At 40.2% G+C, this 22,554-nt stretch overlaps 1 protein-coding gene across 10 annotated transcripts in view, besides 1 other annotated feature; it reads left to right on the top strand.

The window, feature by feature from the left end:
* The window catches only part of PIK3CG (phosphatidylinositol-4,5-bisphosphate 3-kinase catalytic subunit gamma), a 43,699-nt gene continuing 23,042 nt past the window's right edge, over nucleotides 1,898-22,554 (top strand). For 3 of the 10 annotated variants that reach the window (NM_001282426.2, XM_017012328.2, XM_011516316.2), the window contains exons 1-9: nucleotides 1,898-2,042; nucleotides 4,166-6,172; nucleotides 9,153-9,218; nucleotides 9,329-9,554; nucleotides 11,316-11,419; nucleotides 16,135-16,281; nucleotides 18,733-18,823; nucleotides 19,649-19,779; nucleotides 20,771-20,882. In NM_001282426.2, the coding sequence (NP_001269355.1) occupies nucleotides 4,178-6,172; nucleotides 9,153-9,218; nucleotides 9,329-9,554; nucleotides 11,316-11,419; nucleotides 16,135-16,281; nucleotides 18,733-18,823; nucleotides 19,649-19,779; nucleotides 20,771-20,882 (2,872 nt within the window). In that variant the 5' untranslated portion in view covers nucleotides 1,898-2,042; nucleotides 4,166-4,177. Of the gene's footprint in view, nucleotides 2,043-2,063; nucleotides 2,393-4,165; nucleotides 6,173-9,152; nucleotides 9,219-9,328; nucleotides 9,555-11,315; nucleotides 11,420-16,134; nucleotides 16,282-18,732; nucleotides 18,832-19,148; nucleotides 19,222-19,648; nucleotides 19,780-20,770; nucleotides 20,883-22,554 lie in introns of those variants that run through there. The other 7 variants (NM_002649.3, XM_047420479.1, NM_001282427.2 and 4 more) reach the window with 6 other exon arrangements.
* Nucleotides 1,970-2,069: an enhancer, noted in NCBI's record as "active region_26490". NCBI's record gives its function as "activates an Ori minimal core promoter by ATAC-STARR-seq in GM12878 lymphoblastoid cells {active_cell/tissue: GM12878}" and the evidence as "EXISTENCE:reporter gene assay evidence [ECO:0000049][PMID:35858748]".

Here is a 22,554-nt window from a genome sequence, read left to right on the forward strand (position 1 = left end):
AATCTTTGCCATTACTTCTTACTGGGAACATTTACTACAGATAGTCAAATTTTAGTGGCTATATTAAGATTTGGGGAAGAGCAGGGTACTTTTAATCTCAAGCCACCAATAAACCTGACATATTTGCCAGTTTAGTCATAAAACAGAAAATCCTTTGCCTAATCAAACTTAGCTTAATAGTTCCTTCAGAAGCAGGCAGGGCCAAGAGGCTGAGTCTCGTGTTTCTGGAATAATGTGGCATGTGTGTGTGTATGTGCAGTGCCAGATTGGGACTTGGCCCCCTGGAAGTGACTGAGCCAGGACAGGGAAGGGATCTATTGAATGGTCTGGGGAACAGGGCTGGCCAAGCTCATGGTCCCTCTGAGGTCAGCCCTCCCACCCTCAAACCTCCTCCCACTCCACCCACCCCCAGGAACCCTCCCACACACTCTGGGTAAAACACAGCTTGGCAAGCTCTCACATCATGGCTTGGTGGCTACAGTGTGTTGATCTTCCCTCAGGACCAACCAAGAAAGCTAGCCTTGGTGCTTCTAAAGCTGCCAGCCTCCTAAGGGAGTATTCCTATATAGGAATATACTTTGAGAAGCTGATAAGACCCCTCTAAATATTTGGGAGGCAGCCTTTGAATTAAATTATTTGCCTGCTGATGTCAACTATTAGAGTGCTATTTAAAAGTTAAAACCCAAGAGGCATATGTAAAAGGAAATAAGTCAAATCAATCATTTATCTCAATATCAGAGTAATTCAGAGGAACTCTTAATTACATACCTCCAAGAGACTTGTGAGGTCAACTCCATTCTATCTGCTGCCCTTGAAGCTCAGCTGGAGTCCCTCAACACCCCGATTGGAGGATGAACTCTAGCATAGGGAATTCTGAGATGGAGGGAGGGGGCGCTGGTTCAGGATGCTTGGAGGTTCTAGAAAGAACTGAGGTCACCTGGAAGATACAACGCTACTCTAAAAATGATTCAGGATGGCTTTTCTATGCATTCTCTACTCCCATAGGAATCAGGGGCCACCTCCCAGGATGGAATCTGCCTGATGCTGTAACAGTGTTCAGCTCCCCAATTTCCCCATGATAACAGGCAACCTCCTTCTGTTTTGTCTACAGTTAATTAATCAGTCATTGCTGACAGTAAGGCTCCATCCTCAACACAGGATATTTTCTGAAGCATTAATTTTTGTTTCAATAGTTGATCCTTGTTTGGAATATAATGTGTTACAATGTAGTGGTACTTAGTATTAAAATCAAAATACCTTTTTATTCATCTTTCAATTTTAATACTTTTAGCATTTCAACCATTATTTGAAGGGTTACTTACTGCAGTATGTCACATTTATATACACACATGCACATGCTGCAGTGCTTTCAGTTTGAGCCAGTGATATTTTAGGCCCCAAATGCTCTGAAAAAATAGAGAAAGCTCTCACCAAGCTAAGGAAGTGAGCTTGCAGACCATGCCTTTAAAAATTTTCAGCTTGATAACTTAGTCCTCAAGATGACTAGGTTTCTCTTCCCCCACCCCTCAGTTAGCATGTGCGAACAAGGATTCTTTTGAATTCCCAGGAGGGGAATGAGTTTAATTTGACTGGTAAAAGTCTTCCTAATAGGATACCTAATACTGTGGCTCTTAGAACTAGCTACAAAGATATTTCATATGTTTATGTCTCATAATGGGTAATTTTGGTTTGGATTTATGTCATTTTGTCTCAGTATCACAATTTTTGAAAAATTAGTTCAAAGAGAAAAAAAAAAGAAAAGAAAAACCATGGTAAACATTGCTCAGTCTCATACTCCTACCCTCTCTATGCTAAAACAGGAAATGCATTTCTGACACTTTTAAAATGAGCAATCACACGTATAATCAACTTGGTTAAAACTTCCTTCCTGGTAACTGCAACACTTCCTCTGCATCTGGATATGAAGGGAGCCCCAGAAAAGCGGAAGAATTTAGACGCACACTGGGTAGGTTTGAATTTGTTTTGTTTTCAAAAATTAAACAAATGATCCTTCAGCATCATCGCCTCCGCTGCTTTATCAGGTATTGCTTCCTTCTATTTTTTGCTCTTTGTGGGGTCTGACTCGGAATAGTGGCACTTCCTTCTCGGCTAGATTATCTGAAACTGTTGTCGGTTCTTGAGATGATACTACCACCGAATGTCTGTGTTTCATTGTCTAGTCCAACCTGTATTGTGGATATCTACAACGTTCCGGCAATAGTTTTGCAGGTGCATCACATTTTTGTTTTTGTTTTGGGAGGAAAAGGGAGGGCACGGCAGCCAGGCTTCATATTCCTACAAGTGCATGCTTCAAGATTACTGTACTTACAGTGTTTCCAACATCTTCTCATAAAAGGGGAAAGCTTCATAGCCTCAACCATGAAGGAAACCAGTGAGTATTAGTCAGCCTGTTTTCCTCTGCATCTTATAAGATCGTTTGGTATCACTGAGGCAGAAGTTATTGCTGTGTATTTATATGCTGCCTAAATTTGGACATGTTTTATTTCAAGTTAGTGTCAATATCAATGTATCTTACAGTTCTCTTCTTTGTTAGTTATTCTATAATGTAGCAAAAGACCAAAATGAATGTTTTAAGCCACAAGAGACAGTTCTTTGGGACAGTTGGTTTCACTTACTAAGTATAACTTCATATTTTAAGAGAGGGAATATTGGTTTTAAAAGTTAAGCCAAGATTTGAACATAAGTTTGGATCAAATGAAATTTGTCTTTCTTATCTTCTTATCAAGCTCTCCTTTTTGGTATACATCAAATGCTCCACTATTTCTTAAGGAAATAATGTAGTTTTAAGTCTAACATTAGTTATTTAAGAGAGTAAACGATATTTTCTGAAACATTAATTTTTTGTTTCAATAATTGATTCGTTTAGAATATAATGTATTACAATGTAGTGATACTAAACATTGAAAGCAAAATACCTAATCTTTCAGTGTTAATACCTTTCAAATTTCAATTATTATTTGAAGGATTTCCTATTGCAGTATGTCCTATTTATACATAAGTGCTTTGTGAAGGGTAGGTACTTACTGAATTTTGTGGAAAGAGTGAGTAGGTTAATGAGAATAAATTTGTGAATTTGTGTTACAAAAATGAAAATATTAGAGCAAAAAAGAAGTTAAATGATTGGGGGTCTTAACAGAAGGTCACTGGAGTCCAGAAATCCTGCCTTCCATCCTGTAGCTCCTCCATTATTAAGTAGAGACAGATCAAATGAATTTTAATTAATTAATTAAACAATGTTAAAATTACCTAAATGTTCCTATTGGGAGAGTACAGCCTTGGGTGACTCTTCTAAGATACTGCCCTAATATAGCAGTGACAGCCAGAATGCTGACAAATTCCATGATTCAAAATTTTACATATCTGCAAATGGTTTTGACTGTAACTTTACTAATTCCGATATGTTTTAGCTTTACAAATGAAATGACTTGCTTTCCTAATTAGAAAGAAAAAATGAAACCAAGAGGCAGGAAATTTATTAGGGAGTAGATCCTAGGTCCAGGCAGTTTGAAAACAGGCAACGTGAAGCAAGGCTGGGTGAGGTGTCTGGGTTCCAAGAAGTGTGAGACTTAACAAAGAGGAAGTAAGTTAAAGGCCTGTTTTCAAAGTGAGATTTTTTGGCATCTCGTGTTGCACCTTGTAAACTGGGACTTGAACCTTAACTGTACTATTTTAGTAATCTATATGTTTCAGTATGTTTAAGAACAATGTCCATTCTGAGCCATTATAATGTGTCATGCGCTGTGCTGGATGAGTGTTTTACCTACCTCTTTAAAATTTTCAAAGTATACAAAAGTAGAACGACCAATAAGCCCCCATATACCTGTCACCCATATTGAACAAGTATTACTTTATTTAACTCTCCCTCTGGGGCATTCATTACTAACCAGTTTGAGAGATGAGAAACAGGCTCAGAGATTAAGCAGCCCAAATCACCCAGAAAGTAAGTGGCTGGGCCAGGACTCACCGGCCCGACTCCAAAGCCCACGCTCTGAAGGGCTGTAGTGCTTCCAGTTTAAAATACTTGGTCCCTCTGGGTCCCTGTGCACATGTACGCCGCCTATACCTCCTCTTCCCTCATCTCACCAGAAAATATAAGGGGAAAGTGCCTTTCTTGTGACAAATCCCTGTGTCCCTCCGCTCCCAGGTCGCATAGGGCATGGAGCTGGAGAACTATAAACAGCCCGTGGTGCTGAGAGAGGACAACTGCCGAAGGCGCCGGAGGATGAAGCCGCGCAGTGCTGCGGCCAGCCTGTCCTCCATGGAGCTCATCCCCATCGAGTTCGTGCTGCCCACCAGCCAGCGCAAATGCAAGAGCCCCGAAACGGCGCTGCTGCACGTGGCCGGCCACGGCAACGTGGAGCAGATGAAGGCCCAGGTGTGGCTGCGAGCGCTGGAGACCAGCGTGGCGGCGGACTTCTACCACCGGCTGGGACCGCATCACTTCCTCCTGCTCTATCAGAAGAAGGGGCAGTGGTACGAGATCTACGACAAGTACCAGGTGGTGCAGACTCTGGACTGCCTGCGCTACTGGAAGGCCACGCACCGGAGCCCGGGCCAGATCCACCTGGTGCAGCGGCACCCGCCCTCCGAGGAGTCCCAAGCCTTCCAGCGGCAGCTCACGGCGCTGATTGGCTATGACGTCACTGACGTCAGCAACGTGCACGACGATGAGCTGGAGTTCACGCGCCGTGGCTTGGTGACCCCGCGCATGGCGGAGGTGGCCAGCCGCGACCCCAAGCTCTACGCCATGCACCCGTGGGTGACGTCCAAGCCCCTCCCGGAGTACCTGTGGAAGAAGATTGCCAACAACTGCATCTTCATCGTCATTCACCGCAGCACCACCAGCCAGACCATTAAGGTCTCACCCGACGACACCCCCGGCGCCATCCTGCAGAGCTTCTTCACCAAGATGGCCAAGAAGAAATCTCTGATGGATATTCCCGAAAGCCAAAGCGAACAGGATTTTGTGCTGCGCGTCTGTGGCCGGGATGAGTACCTGGTGGGCGAAACGCCCATCAAAAACTTCCAGTGGGTGAGGCACTGCCTCAAGAACGGAGAAGAGATTCACGTGGTACTGGACACGCCTCCAGACCCGGCCCTAGACGAGGTGAGGAAGGAAGAGTGGCCACTGGTGGATGACTGCACGGGAGTCACCGGCTACCATGAGCAGCTTACCATCCACGGCAAGGACCACGAGAGTGTGTTCACCGTGTCCCTGTGGGACTGCGACCGCAAGTTCAGGGTCAAGATCAGAGGCATTGATATCCCCGTCCTGCCTCGGAACACCGACCTCACAGTTTTTGTAGAGGCAAACATCCAGCATGGGCAACAAGTCCTTTGCCAAAGGAGAACCAGCCCCAAACCCTTCACAGAGGAGGTGCTGTGGAATGTGTGGCTTGAGTTCAGTATCAAAATCAAAGACTTGCCCAAAGGGGCTCTACTGAACCTCCAGATCTACTGCGGTAAAGCTCCAGCACTGTCCAGCAAGGCCTCTGCAGAGTCCCCCAGTTCTGAGTCCAAGGGCAAAGTTCAGCTTCTCTATTATGTGAACCTGCTGCTGATAGACCACCGTTTCCTCCTGCGCCGTGGAGAATACGTCCTCCACATGTGGCAGATATCTGGGAAGGGAGAAGACCAAGGAAGCTTCAATGCTGACAAACTCACGTCTGCAACTAACCCAGACAAGGAGAACTCAATGTCCATCTCCATTCTTCTGGACAATTACTGCCACCCGATAGCCCTGCCTAAGCATCAGCCCACCCCTGACCCGGAAGGGGACCGGGTTCGAGCAGAAATGCCCAACCAGCTTCGCAAGCAATTGGAGGCGATCATAGCCACTGATCCACTTAACCCTCTCACAGCAGAGGACAAAGAATTGCTCTGGCATTTTAGATACGAAAGCCTTAAGCACCCAAAAGCATATCCTAAGCTATTTAGTTCAGTGAAATGGGGACAGCAAGAAATTGTGGCCAAAACATACCAATTGTTGGCCAGAAGGGAAGTCTGGGATCAAAGTGCTTTGGATGTTGGGTTAACAATGCAGCTCCTGGACTGCAACTTCTCAGATGAAAATGTAAGAGCCATTGCAGTTCAGAAACTGGAGAGCTTGGAGGACGATGATGTTCTGCATTACCTTCTACAATTGGTCCAGGTAGGGGATGTTGGTGTTATCAATGGAAGCCTTCTCAAAAGGAATTGATTTGCATATGCACAGGCACTCCATTCAGTTGTCATCAAATGCCCTTTGTTCAGAGCTTCATCATCGGCAAAAGTAGATATGATGAAGCTGCCTCAAAAAGTAGTAAACTGTTCCATGTACATTTTTACTGTCTCGGAGGGTTTGCTGACAAGGGTTTTGCAGACATTAGTACTTCACGTTTTTAGGAGAATTGGCCCTGTGGGAATACTTTGTTCTCATTTATTATTTTAATGATAGATTGCACTTACTGAATGCTTTCTTGTGCCAAGGCTCCAAGTGACTGACATGCTTTCAGTGTATTATCTCATTTAACTCTTCCAATAACTATGATGGAGGTCAAATTGACATTTGCACTTTTTACATGAGGAAACTGAGGTACAAAGAGGCTAAGTAATGTGCCCAAGGTCACATACTTTGAAAGAGGTAGACCAGAATTCAAACCCAGGAGGTCTCCCTCCAGATCCTGCTCTTTTCACTACCCCAAATCCTTCACAAATCCACCACCATATCCTTCATCAGTCTGGTGTCAGGATTCTGGGGCTAGAGATAAAAGGTCTTATTCTCTGTGTATGTCTGTTACAGTTCACAGAATAATATCTCATATCTGGGTAGAGTCTTGAAAGCTCCTCTCTGCAGATAGGTACAGGACTGTATGTATTTCTGCTCCGTTTCTCATGATGTTCCCTGGGGTCCTGAGAGGACAAGTGATTTTTCTAAGGTTTAGTTAAGAAGTTAAAGAAAGAAGGGGGAACAGTTCCCCTGCTCACTTTAGCAGTTCTCAACTTATATTGTACTGCTTGACAAGGGAAAAGAAGTAAAGGAATTTGAATAGAAATGCTATTTTAGAGCACAGCCTTCATTCATTAATTCAACAACATGTACTGAGAAGACTGGCATTAAATGAGTACACACACAAATAGATGTTTAATACCAAATTGTGACAAATACTTTAGGGAAAACTATACCGTATTATGAGAAAACAGTCCAGGGGTCCAAGGGACACTTAATTTTGATTAAGAGACCCCGGGACAGTTCTGAGTAAGTGACATTTGACCTGAGATCTTTAGGATTAGCCAGACTAAATTTTACACACTAAACTATCTAATCACTATCCGTATTTATAGGAAGTTCTGGAGTTTTCTGATAAGCATTTTGGATAGCCTCAACTTAAACTCTCAATCTTCACCTTCCTGTTAGATACTTGAAACATTACATTTGGCTTTGTTTTCATCCATTAAATATATTCAGTAGTTTTTTCACTAGTTGAGATATTTGTATAACACTAAAGAATTTTAGAATAATTAAAGAATCTTCAGTTTTCTAGCTCTCCATAACAGAAACAACATGAAAAAAACTTGGATGAGCTCTGTTGCAAACCCCAAGGCTAACAGGAATTATTTTTCATTGTCATGTTCACAAGTAAACTTTAAAGAGCTGGAAAATGAATAATGTTCTTTTTAGAAATGTGTTAAATGAAAGAGGTCAATACATAATATTAACATTGAATTTGTGGTCTTAAATCTGAAGAAGAATAGTCATTTGTAAAACTACTTGAGACATTTTCAGCTATGGCTAAATGACTCATTCCTGATCAAAATGGTCTCCTAGTTGAGATCTGCACTGTCTTTACAGAAGTGAAACCTGAAGAAGGTCAGAAAGACTCACATCTGGCTTAGAAACTTAAAACATTGCGAAAATGAGTACTGGTGGCTAAAAGACCACATTCTCAGAATTAAGGCCTTTGATGCAGCTACAGTGGCACCTATTTGACCATACTTTTGAAAAGCATTTTTGTAAACACTTGTATAATTGAAACATGATGAAGCCACTAGTGATCATGTCCAAACTGGAAAACCAGAGGAAGAATTATAAATCCTTCCAAGAAGCCTCCAGTTCCTAAAATATAAACTAGAATGTGAATTTCTTCCGTTCCTTAGGAAAAAAGGATACACCATTTCTATTCATAAAGTGTATACTCTGAGATATTTAATATTAAGTCTTTCTTCATGTTTACATATAACATCTATCCTCTAACTTTATATATGCTTTTATAATAATCTGAACAATGTTAGTGTTGCTGCTTTTAAAATTATGAACTATTTCAAACTTACAGAAAAGCACAGAGAACAATGAAACACCTATGCACTCACAAGATTTAATTGTGTTTTTTACATTTTATCAGTTCTTCCTCATCAGTAATGGAGCTGTACTAAGTCAATATTCTCTAACATCAGCCAAGTGATATGAAAATTACTAAACACTAAAAATGAAGATCAAATTATACTTAAGAAAACATAAAATCAGGGACTTTTGGACAGAAAGCTCTGTACACACCACAGTGTGGCAGAGGGTAGTGATTGCTCTGTGTGGATTGATCTAGAGCCACTGTTTACTTGTAGTTAAGGACCTGTGAGACAGTTCAGTGACTTGCCAGTGAGATGCCGAAAAGGGAAGCTATAGGGCTTTTAGGATCTTTCCATCTAACAAATATTTTTCTCCTTACGTGTATTATACTATATCTCCACTGTCCATTTTCTTTCTCACATTCTCTCTTACCTTCCACTTTATAGATTGGTTACAGTGTCTCCATCTTCCCCCTCTACCCCTCCAACAAAACCAGTAAGACCTAATTAGAGCAAATTCCCTCACCTCTTCACCTTTGAATTTATCAGCAGCACATGACTGTGAGTCAAAAGTTTCATCCTCTAATCCCAGTTATGTCATCGGCTGCTCTATGATCTTAAGCAAGTGGTTCAGTCTGGTCCTAAGTGTCCTCTAACAGACAGGATTAAACTTAAGTGACTGTTAAGATTTTCATCTTTCTAGCCGTGAAGACCCAGTAAAGCAGAGCACCAGTTCTTCTCCATTTCCTTTTCCCTGATTCAACGACATAGAGTACAGTCCTACAAATGCCAATGTGTTCTTCCTTTAGGCTGTGAAATTTGAACCATACCATGATAGCGCCCTTGCCAGATTTCTGCTGAAGCGTGGTTTAAGAGTAAGTACTTCCATTTTGATAATAGCGTGAAATTTTAAGTTGCCAAGAATTAACTGGTAGACCTAAAGCATTAGTCATAATAATTTCAACTTTCTTGTACCTGCCCTCAGAACAAAAGAATTGGTCACTTTTTGTTTTGGTTCTTGAGAAGTGAGATAGCCCAGTCCAGACACTATCAGCAGAGGTTCGCTGTGATTCTGGAAGCCTATCTGAGGGGCTGTGGCACAGCCATGCTGCACGACTTTACCCAACAAGTCCAAGTAATCGAGATGTTACAAAAAGTCACCCTTGATATTAAATCGCTCTCTGCTGAAAAGTATGACGTCAGTTCCCAAGGTACGGTGGCTATATTTTCTGTGTTCTCTTTCCAAATGCCTTCATCTCCAAATGCCATTGTTCCTATAATTCTTTTTCTTCCTGGAATCCAAGTTGCATCCTCCTGAAGGCACCAAGAACACATTTTTGAGTTTTCTGTCTGCATGGAGTAAACAAATTTAAAGTTCTCCTTTTACAAGTTCATAATTTTTAACTATATATTTACATATTCTTAACTGAAAAATTAAGCAGCATTATGCAGATGTAAGATGTAGTTTTTAAGAACAGTTGCATACACAAAGATTAGATATTTCCAAATCTTTACCTTTTTCTTCACATCTCTGAATATGCACATACAGTTTTCAAGTTTACAGTCTTATAAAATGATGAATTTTTGAGAGGCTATTTTAATTTTTTGGCATTTCTTCATCTATATATCTCAGAGTGATATATAGAGATACATTCATTCTTCCCTATCTGGGGTCCTACATCTGTAAATTCAACCAAGCATGGATAGAAAACATTTGGGAAAAAAATTGCATCTGCATTGAACATGTACAGACTTTTTTTCCTGTCATTATTCCCTAAACAGTACAGTGTAACAACTATTTGCATAGCATTTACATTGTATCAGATATTATAGGTATCTAGAGATGATTTACAGTATATGGGAGGAAGTGCATAGGTCATATGCAAATACTATACCATTTTATATCAGGGGCTTGAGCATTCATGGATTATGATATCTGCAGGAGGTCCTGGAACCAATCCTTACAGACAGCAAGAGACGACTCTGTATCTGTGTGTGTGTGTGTGTGCATAAAGGTAATAAACACACACACACACACACCACCTTCTCTCTCAAGCTGTTTCCAATATCTTATTCCTACCCTAAGAAAACCTGCCCCTGCCCTAGGAAAATTAATCACTCCTTCTCTGTATTTCTGTAGATTTTGATTGATACTACATTAAATTAAAGTCTTTAACATATCTTCCTGGTCTGGTAAACTGTATCAACCTTGAATCTAGAGAATATCTCTTTTTCATTTTTATATACCTAGACCTAGCACTATGGCTCATTACATAGACACTTCATGTACTCAACCAGTATTTTAAACTCCTGAATATTTAAAATTTCTTTCTCCCTTTGATTCTTACAATGCTTCCTCCTAAAAATGATGATGGTAATAATAATATTTTATTTGCATTTTAAGAAAGGAAAACATTTGTACTGACCCTCATTCTGTCAGTCATCCAGTAATTTTTAATTCACATATTTTGCCTTTAGAATTTTAAGGCTGTCACATCCATCTTCTCTACTTCTCTACAGAACCTAACTTCCTCTTCTGAAAAGAAATTACAGAACCCTAACCAAATTCCATGTATTATTTTCTTAAAATGTCTGTTCCTCAAATCAGATGGTAGTTTAAAGTTTAATGTGCTGGAAAGAAAACTACAGTATTAATTCCTTAGCATCACCCTCAGAGCATACTTCTCTACTTGGATTGTGTTGGTGTCTATGTGTTATCCCACATATATTCACATATTTCTGTCCCCTGTTGTAGTATGTGTACATGGTTATGTTGCTCACCTTAAGCCCAATGTATCTTGCCACCTCATATGGTTAGCTCCTCAAAGGCAGGGCCCACCCACATTTCTCCTGCTCTACACCAGAACAAATATATAGAATGCTATGAATAAATGTGTTCTCAGGAAATGTAATAGATAATATTGATGATTTCTGGAACTCACATAACTCTTGTGTACTTTTGACAATTACAGTTATTTCACAACTTAAACAAAAGCTTGAAAACCTGCAGAATTCTCAACTCCCCGAAAGCTTTAGAGTTCCATATGATCCTGGACTGAAAGCAGGAGCGCTGGCAGTAGGTATCACTTGGATGTCTCCATGTGGTCTTTATGTCTTGAAGATGTCTAACGTGCTTGCTGGGGCCCAGTACTTAAAAGCTAATGTTTATGCAGAGACAGGGAAGCTGGAGAGTCTCTGGATGGGTTTCTCATAAGCCCTTGTCTAATCACTGGTTATGAAAGCCTCAATACCAGATAATTTCCCTTCCATATTTTTTAAAATCAGCTTGAGATATTCTTTGTATACAATAAAAATTGTCCATTTAAAATGTAGAATTCAGGGAACAGGCGCGGTAGCTCACGCCTGTAATCCCAGCACTTTGGGAGGCCGAGGCAGGCAGATCACGAGGTCAGGAGTTCAAGACCAGCCTGGCCAACAAGGTGAAACCCCGTCTCTACTAAAAAATACAAAAGAAAATTAGCCAGGCATGGTGGTGCATTCCTGTAATCCCAGCAACTCGGGAGGCTGAGGCAGGAGAATTGCTTGAACTAGGACCTAGGAGGTGGAGGTTGCAGTGAGCCAAGATCACGCCACTACACTCCAGCCTGGGTGACAGAGCAAGACTCCGTCTCAAAAAAAAAAAAAAAAGTAGAATTCAGTGAGTTTTGAGAAATGTATACAATTATATAACCACCGCCACAATCAAGATCTAGAACATTTCCATAGACATGTTACAGAAAAAGTTCTGTCATGTCCCATTGCAGTTAGTCCTTTTTCTCCTCCCATTCTCTGTGATAATGCAACAGATCTACTTTCTATCATAAAATGCCTTTTCTAGACTTTTATTAAGAGGAATCATATAGTATATAGTTTTATATCTGAATTATTTTACTTTCCATAATGCTTTTAAGATTCATTCATGTTATTGTATGTATCAGTAATTTGTTTCTTTTTATGACTTAGTAGTAGTCCCTTGTATGGATATACCACAGTTTGTTTTCCATTCATTTTTTGAGTAAATGTTTAACAGTGGGGTAGTTGGGTCAGATGGTGTGTGTGTGTAATTTTACAAGATACCATTTTTCCAAAGTGGTTATACCATTTAAATTCCAGCAATGTATACGATGAGTTCTAGTTGTTTCACATCCTAGCAAGCACTTGTTATCATCAGTTTTTTTTTTGTTTTTTTTTTTTTTTTGAGACGGAGTCTCGCTCTGTTGCCCAGGCCGGACTGCGGACTGCAGTGGCGCAATCTCGGCTCACTGCAAGCTCCGCTTCCCGGGTTCACGCCATTCTCCTGCCTCAGCCTCCCAAGTAGCTGGGACTACAGGCGCCCGCCACCGCGCCCGGCTAATTTTTTGTATTTTTAGTAGAGACGGGGTTTCACCTTGTTAGCCAGGATGGTCTCGATCTCCTGACCTCATGATCCACCCGCCTCGGCCTCCCAAAGTGCTGGGATTACAGGCGTGAGCCACCGCGCCCGGCCTATCATCAGTCTTTTTAAACTTAGCCATTCAAATGAGTATGAAGTGGTATCTCACTGTTGTTTTTATTTGCATTTCCATAATAAGGTTGAGTGTCTTTCTATGTGCTCATTTTCCATTAGAGTACATTCTTCTGAAAATTTTCTATTCAAATATTTCACCAGTTTTTTAGGTGGGTTGCCTTCTTTTTTTTTTTTTGAGACAGAGTCTCGCTCTGTCGCCCAGGGTGGAGTGCAGAGGCACGATCTCGGCTCACTGCAAGCTCCTCCTCCCAGGTTCATGCCATTCTCCTGCCTCAGCCTCCCAAGTAGCTGGGACTACAGGTGCCCGCCACCACACCCAGCTAATTTTTTTTTTTTTTTTGTATTTTTAGTTGAGATGGGGTTTCACCGTGTTAGCCAGGATGGTCTCAATCTCCTGACCTCGTGATCCACCTGCCTCGGCCTCCCAAAGTGCTGGGATTACAGGTGTGAGCCACCGCACCTGGACCTTAGTTTTAGTTATGAGAGTTACTTATATAAACTGGATACAAATTCTTTATCAGATATACATTTTACAGATATTTTCTGTTAGTCTGTGGCTTGCCTTTTTATTTTCTTAGAGGTGTCTTTCAAAGCAGAAGCTTTAAATTTTGATTAAGTCAAATTTGCAACTTTTTCTTAAATGGTTTGTGCTTTTAGTGTCTTATCTAAGAAATCTGTCTAGGACTAGCACAGTGTCTCACACCTGTAATTCCAGCACTGTGGGAAGCCAAGGCGGGAGGATCACTTGAGGCAAGGAGTATGAGACCAGACTGGGCAACATGGCGAGACTCCATCTCTACAAAAAATAAAAAAAAATAGCCGGGCATGGTGGCACGTGCCATAGTCCCCACTACTTGGAAGGCTGTGGTGGGAGGATCACTTGAGCTCAGGAGTTTGATACTGCAGTGAGCTGTGTTTGTGCCACTGCATTCCAACCTGGGCTACAGAGCGAGACCCTGTTTCAAAAGAAATGAAAAAGAAATCTATCTAATCCAGTGCCTCAGCCTGGGGTAATCCCTCTGTCTGCCAAGGGACATTTGGCAATGTCTGAAGACATTGTTGATGGTTATAACTGGGAGAATGCTATTGGCATCTAGTGGGTAGAGGCCAGGGATGCTGCCAAATACCCTGCAGGGTACAGGATAGTCCCCCAGAACCAACACTATCCACCCCAAAATGGCAACAGTGCCAAGGTTAAGAAATTCTGGTTTAACTCAATGTGGCAGATATTTTTTCTTAGAAGGGTTATGGTTTTAATTCTTACATTGAAGTCTGCAATCCAATTTGAGTTAATTTTTGTGTACAGTGTGAGGTGAAGGTCAGAGTTCATTTTTAAATATGAATATCCAGATTTTTCAGCACCATGTGTTGAAAAGACTGTTTTGTTTTGTTTTGTTTTGTTTTGTTTTTCCTGGAGAACTACCTTGGCACCTTTGTCAAGTATCAACTGACCGTATATGTGTGGGTCTACACCTAGATTCTCTGTTCTGTTCCACTGATCTAAATGTCTGTCCTTACATCAATACCACACATTCTTGATTATGTTTAAATAACAAAGCACTTCATATACGTGTGCTTATACAGGCAACAGTATACTTCCATTAACCCCCGCATCCTTTGCATTATTTTTATTATGATTTCAACTTCTATATATGTTATAAATGGCACAATAAGTTACTATTTTTGCCCTAAACAGTTAAAAAATAGACTTAACAGACTTAATAGATGAAATAATTTTTAACTATTCACCTACATATTTACCATTTTTGGTACTCTTTATTGCCTTATATCGGTCCACATTTCCTTGAGCTTCTAACATCTTTTCTACTGCAAGTTTGCTGACAATAAATTCTTTCAGCTTTTGTTTATCTGAAACACTTTTTATTCTGCTTTCATTTTTGAAAAATATTTTCCCTGAATATGGAATTCTAGATTGACTGGTTTTTTTCTTGCAGTAACATTTTTTTCTGGCTTGCATATTTTCTGATGATGAGTCTTATCTTTGATTGTGTCTGCATAATACGTCTTTTTCCCCAGGCTGTTTTTAAGATTCTTTTTTATTTCTGGTTTTCAGCAATTTGATTATGATGTACCCTGGTATGGGTTTCCTTTGTGTTTAGGCTGCTGGAGTCTATGGAGCTCCTTGAATTTGTGAGTTTATAGTCTATCAAATTTGGAAATTTTTCAACCAATTTTTTATGTTGCCTCTTTTCTCTCCTCTCTGAGACTTCAGTTACAGTAATTTAGACTGCTGGACTCTGGGCTCAGTCTGGATTTCCTTCCTCTGTGCTGTAGCCTAGAAACAGCCCCCAGGCAGTAATCTGGGGCAATTACAGGGCTCACTTCATTTGTCTTCCTTTTCTTGGGGATCACGGACCTACACTGCCTGTTCAATGTCTGAAAAGAGTTTTATATATTTTGCATAGTTTTCTAGTTGTTTATGGCAGGACGGCAACTCCCGTAGCAGCGAAGCCACATGAGAAGATGAGGAAGTTCTTCCCCTGAATGTTTAATTTTATATACAATTACCAGCAAACTGGCCCTATAGTAAAAGCACACACTATCCACTGTCCATTATTTAAAGATTGGTAGGAATTATGACATATTAATACAGTTTCAAATTGTGTTTGCTTCTTTAAATGACTACATCACAATTTTGATCTGTGGTGAACTCACCTTTGCCTGAAACACCTACCTTTTTTATGTTTAAGTGAGTAACTGCCAAGCCACATTTCCCCTGCCTTGAATTTATTTAGATGTATGAGGTTTAGGGGGAGGGCGTGTTGTACCTAAATGCCAGATTTTCCATTTATTTCTGTTAAATTTCATCTGCTTAGATGTAGCCTATTGCATCTGATTCTGCAATAATAGTTTTTTTGACATTGTGGTAGCATTAGAATTCTTTTTTCAAATTAAATCTCAGAAGGCGGACAAATATAATAGCCAGGTTGCTGTCTATTAAAGAGGATGTGGGAGTGTCAGAGCTCTGTGTGCGTGGGGAGGGTGAGATCTGCCATACCTCTTAGGCACTTCCAAAGACTCTTGTGGTTCTTTGGAGCACAGTTTGAGAGGCACTGGTTTAAGAGTTGTGAATTCGCTCTCACATGGCATTTCCAGATTTGCTCAAAACAACTTCTGTATTTTTACCCAAATATTGAAAATCATTCTCCAACTAGGACTTTGTCCTTGTTGTTTATAGTGATGTTTTGCAAGAGAATTTGTGTCTCCACCATGTATATTCGTTATTCATTGTGTGTGGGGAATATGTGACTGCTTCCTTACAGATTGAAAAATGTAAAGTAATGGCCTCCAAGAAAAAACCACTATGGCTTGAGTTTAAATGTGCCGATCCTACAGCCCTATCAAATGAAACAATTGGAATTATCTTTAAACATGGTGATGATCTGCGCCAAGACATGCTTATTTTACAGGTATGCTAATTTTAAGATTGTTTTCAATTATCTGAAAACAATTCTATATTACATCAAAAACATGCTTTCTCCTACTGGCTCTATTCCCACTCTCTTCTTTCAAGTGATGAATTGTGATCAAATATTACATCATAGAGAGTTTTCACTTGGGGAATTTGGCTGCAGACTATTAGATATGCAATCTAATGAGCATTATGGTTCTGTCCAAGTTGCATATCTAACACTCCCAAGTAGCCAGATATACCTCCCTCACCTAATGTCTTTTTTATACACCCCATTCTAAGCTTGATAACATAGAAAATAGCCATATTTATCCCCAGCACTCACTTCATTCCTGCCCATAGACATGTCTGCACATCTCTAGGCACTCTTTTAGATACATCTCCTCTGATGCACATAAACAAATCAAGCAAATGATTTTATGGGAAGGAGAAAGATGAACAAGTAGGTCACCACAGAAATCCTGCAGGTAAGTGACAAGAGTGAAGTACTGTTAGGGCAGAAGGTGAATGGTCAATATATCAGTGCTAATTATTTTCATATTTTCTAACATTTCTAGATAAACTTTAGCTTCACAAGTCTGTAAAGTAATATTCTCCAGATTCTAGTTGGTCAGTGTTGTAGAGGTAATAATTTCTAATACTTAATATGGTTTATTTGAAGTAGACAAATTACATTGATTTCAAGGTAGCCTATTTAAAACTGGTCATGTTTCCAATTGTAAGTTTCTGTTTTTACTTATTTCTAATATAGAAACAGGAATACCTTTGCTTTGCCTTTGCTTTGCCTTTGCTTTGCTTTCAAGAATGATCTATGTTTTGTCCAGGAGGTATTTTAGAAAAGAAAAAGAGAAATCCTTCAAACTTTTTGCAAGTTTATTAAATTTCAAATAAATCTGTAGAATATTTTGAATTGTTTGAAGATGGACACTTTAAAAACACAAAAATTACCCTGTTGGTCCTCTCATTTTGAGTGAAAGTTTGCCTTTGCCCTTTATGTACTTTGTGGTTTTGTTTTTTTTTAATTTTTTTAAGATGAGGCCTTGCTTTATCGCCCAGGTTGGAATACAGTGGCACGATCACAGCCCACTGCAGCCTCAAACTCCTAGGCTCAAGCAATCCTCCTGCCTTAGCCTCTGAAGTAACTAGGACTATAGGTGTGCACCACCATACCTGGCAAATTATATTTTTTGTAGAGATGGGGTCTTGCCATGTTACCCACGCTGGCCTCAAACTCCTTGGCTCAATGAATCCTCCCACCTCAGCCTCCCACACAACTTTCACAGTCTTCTCCTTTTCTTTCCCTTCCTCATAAGAAAACCAACAGTGTGGACCTGGAAAATAGCTCTCTGGTCAAAAAAAACCTCTCTGCCCTTCACTCAACAAAAACATAGCCTTTCCTTCTCTGGGCCAGGCACTAGCCCACAATCTCCATTAGACTCTTCATCCTTCTATAGGAATGATCAAGATTGTGAAAGACACCATGACAATTGCCAAAATTGCTGGGATTCTAGGCACGAGCCAGTTAATCGCCAAAATTGCTGGGATTCTAGGTGTGAGCCATCATGCCCAGCCTACTTTGTTTATTTGTTGGGGCACATAGTTTGGCAGCTAAGGGCAAGTTATTTAAGCTCTTTAAGGCTTTGTTCCTTCACCTGTAGAATGGGAATAATAATCCTATCCACATTATAGGGCAATGCAAGGATCACACATAAAGCAGCAATCAGTATATATTCGCTATCATTATCATCATTGTAGTTACTGCTGCTTTGGTTATTGCCTTTGATAAATATGTGTAAGGATGTTAGAGTTTTGTGGTAAAATAGACACAAGTAAAGCAGAACATTTGAACAGAGAGGTGATGAACCACAGCTAAAACCCACTCCAAAAGAAATGTATTGGCCAAGCATGGTGGCTCACGCCTGTAATCCCAGCACTTTGAGAGGCCAAGGTGGGCGGATCACTTGAGGTCAGGAGTTTGAGACCAGCCTGGCCAACATGGTGAAACCCCATCTCTACTAAAAATACAAAAAAAATTAGCCGGGCATCATGATGCGCGCCTCTAATCCCAGCTACTCAGGAGGCTGAGGCAGGAGAATCACTTGAACCTGGGAGGTGGAGGTGGCAGTGAGCTAAGATCACACCACTGCACTCCAGGCTGGGCGACAGAGCAAGATTCCATCTACAAAACAAAAACAAAAACAAAACAAAACAAGAAATGTATTTATCCTCTTCCCCAAGGTACATTTCGGAAAACAAAATTAACAAGCTCACAAAGAAGAGAAACTTTAGAGTACCAGATTGACCAATAAACGTACAGTTGTTACTTATATGTTTTACATTTACTCTTATATTTTGTGTTACTAGATATGATTGCTATTTTTAAGGGAGAAGAAAAATATATTAAGTTAATATATATATAATATAAACATTTCTGTGTTTCGATGCCCAGATTCTACGAATCATGGAGTCTATTTGGGAGACTGAATCTTTGGATCTATGCCTCCTGCCATATGGTTGCATTTCAACTGGTGACAAAATAGGTATGTAGTTACCTCAGGAGATGAATAGACCTCTCAGCTCGTTTGAAAAGATTATAATTCCTTCAGTGTAGACATTTAATAACTGAAAAATCATAATCTTAATCTGTATAAAAAGGAAGAAAACATTTCTATGCTGGTGAATGTGACTCTCAATTTAATGTGGATATATTGAAAATACATGAATGCATGATTCAAATCCCTGTGACTATACATGGAAATGATTTTAGTAAGAACTTGTTCCCTCCTCTTTCCTTCTCCATCTCTAAACTTTAACTCATTTCATTACACATTAAACTTTTCTCTCACAAAAAACATTTAAAAATAGATGGAAAGATCTGTCACTTATTTTAGTATTCCAGAATTCACATTATCAAAGCTATTACACACTCTACTATCAGGTATTTTTATAGACATTCAGCATTAGTTTCAGTCAAACATATGTTTATTCAAGTTTCTGATCTGAGAACTCTACAAAACCATTTACATTTAACCCTGTAATTTAAAAAAGGAAAAGGCACAGATTGCCATCTGAGGAAGGATATGCTCAGCATATAAATGCTTTTATTTATTACTATTCAAAACCAGCCCTTTCCTCTTGTCATTCTGGGATATTGAAAACATATCCCACACAACTTCCATATCCTCCTTCTTTCCTTTCTATTCCTCATAAGAAAACCAATAGCATAGACCTGGAAAATAGCTCTCTGGTCAAAAAAAAAAAAAAAAAAAACCCTCTGCCCTTCACTCAACAAAGACATAGCCTTTCCTCCTCTGGGCCAGGTACTGGCCCCCAATCTCCATCAGACTCTGTGCATCCTTCTGTAGGAATGATCGAGATTGTGAAAGACGCCACGACAATTGCCAAAATTCAGCAAAGCACAGTGGGCAACACGGGAGCATTTAAAGATGAAGTCCTGAATCACTGGCTCAAAGAAAAATCCCCTACTGAAGAAAAGGTGAGCTCATGCTTTTTCCCAGTCTAATGGCTCCTTACAAGTTGTCATTTATATAGCAGTAGTGGCTTCAAGTTTTCAGAGAATCTGCCAGTGTCTTGCCTCCTGACATATTAGTGAAGTTTTTTACTTGTGAAATAATGGAGGTTTTAAGTACCCTCCCGTGGTGACAGCATATCTGTGTGAAACAGAGGCACTCAGTTCAGGACTCCATGAGCATTTGCTTCTCTTTTGATTATCAGGCATACTTTGCTTAAAATTTGGTTCTGTAAAATAATCTGTTAGCACTTTTTATGGCTATCTATTTTTGTTGTTCAGCCAAGATATTTAGTTACCATGTATAAACTCTTACGTACCTGGGAAATACAACATACACAACAAAGTAATTTATAATTTACTGCTGAACTCTAATCTAAATGGTAAATCATGGATGCTGAAAATGTCACTTCCACCATTCCTTGGAAGTGCATATGCTCAATCCTTCACAAGCTGTGTTTTAGCTGTTTGGCTGTCGTTTAAAGTTCTGCTGCACAGGATTAGCACTTCTCATTTGCATGGTTAGCAGCCTTTTGGGGAGGAAATATAATGAGTAGCACTTATTAATCTGTTATACATGGGGATCTGTGAACCCAAGCATACTCTTAGTGGTCACAAGCAAAACATGTTCACAAATGAAGGAGAAATTACCATGGGTTCTATATAGTTGTTGGCAAGTGATGCATGGAGAGGAAGTGAACCCTTTGATTAAATTACTGTTGCCCTTTGACTCTTGTTTCTTCCTCATGCCATTGTGATTCACTGAATCTTCACCTAAAATATAAGCAGAGCAATGAGAAAGTTGGCAATTCATAGATATAATGCTAATGAAATCAGGCACAACTAACTTGCTCTCTGAAAATGGTTTCCAGAATATTCTCTTTTTAGAAGTCATTTGTAGATTCATGATGCTTTTTGTAGTTAGAAGACAACTAATATTCAAATGCATTTTAATTAGTTTCAGGCAGCAGTGGAGAGATTTGTTTATTCCTGTGCAGGCTACTGTGTGGCAACCTTTGTTCTTGGAATAGGCGACAGACACAATGACAATATTATGATCACCGAGACAGGTGAGTTTATTTAGTGCAGAATAAACTTTTATTGTGGTAAAATATATATAACATAACATTTACTATTTTAACTCTAATTAACTGTAAGTGTTCAGTTCAGTGGCATTACATATGTTCACCTTGTTGTACAACCATCATCACCATTCATCCCCAGAATTTTTCCATCTTCCCCAGCTGAAACTCTGTACCCATTAAACACTAACTCCCCATGCCTCCCTCCTTTCAGAACGGAGTAGTCTTTAAATGGAGTTTAAGACTGGAGCACATATTTAGAAGTCATTGTGTAGGGACACTGGTGCTTCAGTTACTCTAGAGCAGTGGCCCCCAACCTCTTTGGCACCAAGGACCGGCTTCTTGGAAGACACCTTTTCCACGGACAGGGGTGGGGGAGCAAGGATGGTTTCAGGATCATTCAAGAGCATTACGTTTATTGCACACTTTTTTTTCAACTCACTTGCCACTATAAAGCCTGCCACCAGATGCAGCTCAATTTTCACTTGCCACTCACTGAGAGGGTTTTGATATGTAAGGAATTGATTTATTATGGTCTCTGTGCAGTGAAACCTCTCTGCTAATGTTAATCTGTATTTACAGCCACTGCCCAGTGCTAGCATCACCACCTCAGCTCCACCTCAGATCATCAGGCATTAGATTCTCATAAGGGGTGCACAGTCTAGATCTTTCTCGTGCACAGTTCACAATAGGGTTTGTGTTCCTATGAGAATCTAATGCTGCAACTGATCTGACAGGAGGTGGAGCTCAGGCAGTAATTCAGGCAATGGGGAGCAGCTGTAAATACAGATGAAGTTGCTCACTTGCCCATCGCTCACCTCCTGCTGTGTGGCCCAGTTCCTAACAGGCCATGGACCTGTCCATGGCCCAGGGGTTGGGGACCTCTGCTCTAGAGAGACCACCTCACTTGAGGACTAAGGTGTGAGTGAAGGAGGAAGAGGCAGGAAATGAGTCTTAAGAAGGCAAAGTTAGAGGGACCGCTGGAAAACTAGGAGAGGGTCATATCCCAGAAGCTGGCGAAGGTGGGAGTGATCACCAGTGACAGATGTTGCAGAGAAAGAACAGAAAGAACTCATAGATATCCTTAAATCTCCCTAACCCACTCCACTTTAGTGGTTCACTGTCCACTCTGACAGTAGTCAGTAGTGGCCACCAAAGCATGAGATTTTTCTCTATGAATTTGGGCCATTTTAAGAGTAGAGTCTGGAAAAGGCATCAGATGGGGACAGATTGCTTACTTCCTATGAGAATTAAAAGAGATAATATATTTATGGACAATAGAAATGATAAAGGGCTAAACAAATAAGATGATGATTATTGTGGTGGTGATAGTAGTAGTGGTAGAAATTGACCCAAAGGAGACTCAAAATGATTTGCTTCTATCATGCTGCCCAAGTTTCTGAGATCAGATGAGCTTAGATACATTCAGGATGGTATGGCCGTAGATGGCTACTCAAAAGGAAAAGGTGAATAACCCCTGCCCCCAAGCAGAGTGAAACATCAGTCTATCCTGAGTTGCGTAAAGAGCATAAGAGAGTCTTAGGGATAATGATGACATAGTGGCCAGAGAGTTTGATTTATGTTTCTAAGAATAATTTTGAGATGAGAATCTTATAGTGGCATCTGGCTGTCATCTAAAGAACACCAGAAGGATATCAAA

The sequence above is a fragment of the Homo sapiens genome, chromosome 7 (assembly GCF_000001405.40).
Source record: "Homo sapiens chromosome 7, GRCh38.p14 Primary Assembly".
Classification (NCBI taxonomy): Eukaryota; Metazoa; Chordata; class Mammalia; order Primates; family Hominidae; genus Homo; species Homo sapiens.